Genomic DNA, 5,931 nt, shown 5'->3' on the forward strand with positions numbered 1-5,931 from the left:
AAGAATAAATAATACCATGTTACTCAATCATTATGTTACACCAAATAACAGACACCATTACTCTGAATGTATCTTATTTGCCATGGAAAATGAAACAGAGTTATCTCTTAAAAAGCACAAAATTAAACAATTTGCTGTGAAATAATGTTTCTGCTACCTACTAAAAAAATCCCAAGGCTTATAAATCTAAAGAAATGGTAACATATTCACTGGGAACTATTTTTTTCCAGAACCAAAAAGGTTGCCAATTTTTGCACATCAACAGAGTGACCTGAATCTTGGCCTGTGTCCTATGCTTTCCCTCCTTTGCACAATAGAGAAATACTCTTGTTCTTCTGAAGGCCTGTTTCCCCATCTGAAGGCGAGTTCCCCCACTATGCTCTGAATCCCAATTCCTCTCACTTTCTCCTTTGTCTTTTGCATTATCCATAACCTCCCCCACTCCATGGATCACTCCCATTAGCACATACAATTCTGGGAGCTCTCTCTCTCTTTTTTTTTTTTTTTTTTTGAGATGGAGTCACTCTGTGTCGCCCAGGCTGGACTGCAGTAGCACAATCTCAGCTCACTGCAACCTCCACCTCCTGGATTCAAGTGATTCTCCTGCCTCAGCCTCCCGAGTAGCTGGGATTACAGGCACCCACCATCAAGCCTGACTAATTTTTGTATTTTTAGTAGAGACGGGGTTTTGCCATGTTGGCCAGGCTGGTCTCGAACTCCTGACCTCAGCCAATCTACCCGCCTCGGCCTCCCACGGTGCTGGTATTACAGGCCTGAGCCACTGTGCCTAGCCAGAATTTTTTTTTTTTTTTTTTTTTTTTTGAGATGGAGTCTCGCTCTGTCGCCCAGGCTGGAGAGCAGTGGCACGATCTCAGCTCACTGCAACCTCCGCCTCCCAGGTTCAAGCCATTCTCCTGCCTCAGCCTCCCAAGTAGCTGGGATTACAGGTGCCCTCCACCATGCCCAGTTAATTTTTGTATTTTTAGTAGAGACAGGGTTTCACCATGTTGGTCAGGCTGGTCTCAAACTCCTGACCTCGTGATCTGCCCGCCTTGGCTTCCCAAAGTGTTGGAATTACAGGCGTGAGCCACCACGCCATGCCCCAGATTTTTTTTTTAACCTAGAACTTTAATAGGATTAAATAAAATTTTCTTGATTTTTGGCTCTGTGTTTTAGCCTGTCAATACCATTTTGAATTCTGATTTTGCCATCCATCACAATCTTTCTAAAATTGTGAGACATCTGAAAATTCAGTTAACTCTGAACACAAAGATGTGACAAGTATGCAGATACTTACCCCAGCTTCTGAGGTTCAGGGGCCAGTTACATCAGAAGGTGAAACCTTAATTATCCTGATAGGGATTGAAGTGTGGAGGACTTTGTCACAGGCGAAAGCATACTTTCGGCCTTGCACATGTCTGGGTCAAGCGGAAACTTACCCTTTGCCCTCTGATGGTTCACTGAAAAATCAACGGACAAAATGCAGATTATTAAGGGTAATGGCGCACAAACTGATTAGCATGCACGGGGGAGGAAAATTACTCAGTGATTGCCACACCACACGATGGGTACAAATGGTTCTAGACCCTTCTTCTTAGAGGAAAGGGAGACGGGGAAGCGCGGGCCATTTTGGGGGATAGTAAATGATTTGTAAGGGAATTCAATGGGCTTGAAGAACATACAATGACCTGAGACAAAGTCTGTTGTGCCTGCGGAGCAGACAATGATTTGTGACAAAAGTCTGTCCAGTTGCATTGACAGACTTAGTCTTTCTTCCTGCGATATGAGTTCAGTTAACAAGACCTCAGGGAAGGGACCAGAGGTCACTTTTCTCTTTTTTGTAAGTCCAGATGTTAGGCAGATAAGGGAACCTCAGAGAACAACTTCATCCTGTATTTCGGGAGAGACAGAGGATGGAGAGACAGGAGGCAGCGGGGTCAGAGAGAACTCGAGACCTCTTCTTCAGGTCAGCATGTCAGAGTGCCATATTTTGGGGTATTGTTTCCTGAGCCCCAACACAGAAATATTAGACTGGTGCCAAGTAATTGCAGTTTTTGCCACTAAAAGTAATGATGACACCGCAATTACTTTTGCACCAACCTCATAGTTGGTAAGCTACTTCTGGTTCATTCCTGTCTGATCGGTGGCTGGGGGAGTCACAGCGGGACACCAGCCGTGGCAGGAAATGCCTTATGAGGAGTTGATAGGTTCACCTGGATAGCAGTTAAAGAGAGTCCTGCAGTCAAGGAAAAGACATCGATACAGATGTTTTTCACAAGGGTCCCTAAAAATGCAGCTTGTGAGCTAAGTCTCACCGTTGTCCAGCATTAAAGACAAAGGCTCAAAACCAAGGGTCACTTTCTGGACCCGGCTTGCCTAGTCACGAAGTTCTCATCTCAGCCACAAACCTGGGAAACCTCTGCAAAATTCCATGAACTGTATCAGGAGGTCAGTGGGGCATTGCCTGTCAACTAGAGCACAGGATAGGCACAAAAGGGTGGGACTCCCTAGGATGCTCTAGCTGCTGGGTGCCATTTCCCTCCAGCAGTTAGAAAAATGGCTGCTGGAGAGCCCCAGAATATCTTCTGATCTTTCTTTCCGGATTGCATCTCACACAAATTCTTATCCTTTTATTGCCACCCTCTGCCCTTGTGTACTCTGGAATCCAAACCAATAGCTTACCAGAAGGTCAATTAGAAAGAAAATCATCCCCATCCGTCCCGATCGCCAAACAACATTAAGTTGGCTTAGATTTATTTGTTATTTAAAAATTTTTTTGTTTTTGAGACAGGGTCTCACTCTGTTGCCCAGGCTGGATTACAGTGGCATGATCTCAGCTCACTACAACCTCTGTCTCCCTGGTTTAAGTGATCCTCCCACCTCAGCCTCCTGAGTAGCTCGGACTACAGACGTGCACCACCACACTCAGCTAATTTTTGTATTTTTTGTAGAGATGGGTTTTCGCTACGTTGCCCAGGCTGGTCTCAAACTCCTGGGCCCAAGTGATCTGCCTGCCTCTGCCTCCCAAAGTGCCAGGATTACAGGCATGATCCACGGCACCCAGCCTTTAACTTTTTTTGAGACAGGGTCTTGCTCTGTTGTCCAGGCTGAAGTGCAGTGATGTAATTCTGGCTCATTGCAGCCTCCACTTCCCAGGCTCAAGCAATTCTCAGCCTATCTTAGCCTCCCAAGTAGCTGGGACCACAGATGTGCACCAACACACCTGGCTAATTTTTTATATATTTTTTAGTAGAGATATGGTCTCGCCATGTTGCCCAGGTTGGTCTCGAACTCCTGGGCTCAAGCAATCCACCCGCCTCGGCCTCTCAAAATGCTGGGATTATTTATTTATTTATTTATTTATTTATTTATTTATTTATTTATTATTTTAAAAAGACCAAAATTTACCAAAATTTTGATGCCAGTGTCTCTGGTGGTAGAGTTATACAGGTTTTTATTTCTTTTATTTTTGCTAATTCACATTTTGACCAGGAAAGGAAGAACAAAAAAAGTTAAGTGAATAGGCTTTAAAAAGACATAATTCGGCTGGGCCCGGTGGCTTGCACCTGTGATCCCAGTACTTTGGGAGGCCGAGGCGGGTGGATCACCTGAGGTCAGGAGTTTGAGACCAGCCTGGCCAACATGGTGAAACTCCATCTCTACTAAAAATACAAAAATTAGCTGGGCATGGTGGTGGGTGCCTGTAGTCCCAGCTACTCAGGAGGCTGAGGCAGGAGAATCACTTGAACCCAGGAGGCAGAGGTTGCAGTGAGCTGAGATCACATCACTGTTCTCCAGCCTAGGTGACAGAGTGAGACTCTGTCTCAAAAAAAAAAAAAAAAAAAAAAGATATAATTAGGCCACATTTAAATTAGTGATGTTCTAATTTAAATTTGGCCTAATTATATCTTTCCAAAATTTTTAAAAAATTTAACTTTACTCCTAATTTGTATATTAAACTTGTCTCACTAGGAACCCAGAAAGAACAATATCTGGGAAAAGTAATACCAAGACCCAAGCACACACTGGTTCTCGGACTTCCAATCTAGGTAGCGATCACTCTTGTCTCTCATTTACAGCTTTGGGAGGATCCAAGGGGAATAGCTACTTCTGGATTCTGCTAAATATAGAACATCCCTGCTGCTCTTCAAAAGCAGCCACAGTGCAGAGCTACTGTTGGAAAAAAAGACCAACACTCATTTGTTCTGAAATGCAGGAACCCTGTTTGACTTTTTTTTTTTTTTTTTTTTTGAGATAGAGTTTTGCTGCTGTTGCCCAGGCTGGAGTGCAATGGCACAATCTCAGCTCACTGCAACATCTGCCTCCTGGGTTCAAGCGATTCTCCTGCCTCAGCCTCCCAAGTAACTGGGATTACAGGTGCCCTCCACCATGCCCAGCTAATTTTTGTATTTTTAGTAGAGACGGGGTTTCACCATGTTGGCCAGGCTGCTCTCAAACTCCTGACCTCAGGTGATCCAACCACCTCAGCCTCTCAAAGTGCTGGGATTAACCACGCCCGGCCCCATTTTACCTTTTAAGCCCTGTTTTTCTCCTAACTTCTTGCACTAACATTTTCTTTGAAACAATCTCAGAATTTTAAAATGCTTAATGAAAGGAACTACTGATCTGGGGTATATTCTAATACTATATCCCAGAATGAAAATCCATATACAGACATACCTCGTTTGATTGTGCTTCACTTCATTGTGATTTACAGATATTGTGTTTTTTACAAATCAAAGATTTGTGGCAACTCTAAGCAAGTTTATTCGTGCTATTTTTCTGTCTTTTTTTTTTTTTTTTTTTTTTTTGAGATAGGGTCTCACTCTGTCAGCTAGGCTGGAGTGCAGTGGTGCAATCTTGACTCACTGCAGCCTTGATCTCCTGGGCTCAAGCAATCCCTCCTTCCTCAGCCACCCCGAGTAGCTGGGACTACAGGCGTGGGTCACCACACCTGGCTAATTTTTTAATATTTTTAGAGACAGGTCCCACTATGTTGCCCAGGCTGGTCTCAATCTTCTGGGATCAAGTGATCCTCCTACCTTGGCCTCCCAAAGTGTTGGGATTATAGGCGTGAGCCACCATGACTAGCTTGGTGCTATTTTTCCAACAGCATCTGCTCACTTCAGGTCTCTGAGTCACATTTTGGTACTTCTTGCAATATTTCAAACTCTTTAATCATCTGTTATGGTGACCCGTGATCTTTGATCTTTGATGTTACTACTGTTTGGGGGCACCATGAACCATGCCCATAGAACACCACGAACTTAAGAACAATAAATGTTGTGTGTGTTCTGACTGCTCCACCAACCACCTGTTCCCTCGCACTCTGCCTCTCCCCAGGCCTCCCTATTCCCTGAGACACAACAGTATTGAAATTAGGCCAATTACTGACCCTGCGATGGCCTCTGAAGTGTTCAAGTGAAAGAAAGAGGTGCACGTCACTCACTTTAAATAAACTAGACGTGATTAAGCCTGGTGAGGAAGCCACGTTGAAAGCTGACACGGTTTAAACCTCTTGTGCCAAACAGCCAAGTTGTGAACGCAAAGGAAAAGTTCTTCTTAAAAGAAATGAAAAGTGCTACCGTAGTGAACACACAAAGGAGAAGAAAGCGAAACAGCCTTATTGCTCATATGGAGAAAGTTTGAGTGGTCTGGATAGAAGATCAGTCTGGCCACAACATTCCCTTCAGCCAAAGTCTAATACAGAGCAAGGTGCTCTCTAATTCTATGAAGGCTGAGAGAGGTGAGGAAGCTGAAGAAAGGTTTGAAGCCAGCAGAGGTTGGTTCATGAGGTTTAAGGGAAGAAGCCATCTCTATAACATAAAAAAGTAAAGCAGCAAGTGCTGACTTAGAAGCTGCAGCAAGTTAACCGTAAGATCTAACTAAGATAACTGACGAAGGTGGCTACAGTAGAGAACAGATTTTCAG

The 5,931-nt window shown here is 44.1% G+C and overlaps 1 annotated feature.

Moving 5' to 3' along the window:
• Window positions 1,906–2,460: an enhancer, noted in NCBI's record as "OCT4-NANOG hESC enhancer chr7:138506625-138507179 (GRCh37/hg19 assembly coordinates)". NCBI's record gives its function as "activates a minimal SCP1, AML or CMV promoter by ChIP-STARR-seq in naive and primed H9 embryonic stem cells {active_cell/tissue: H9 hESC(naive and primed)}" and the evidence as "EXISTENCE:reporter gene assay evidence [ECO:0000049][PMID:30033119]".

The sequence above is a fragment of the Homo sapiens genome, chromosome 7 (assembly GCF_000001405.40).
Source record: "Homo sapiens chromosome 7, GRCh38.p14 Primary Assembly".
Classification (NCBI taxonomy): Eukaryota; Metazoa; Chordata; class Mammalia; order Primates; family Hominidae; genus Homo; species Homo sapiens.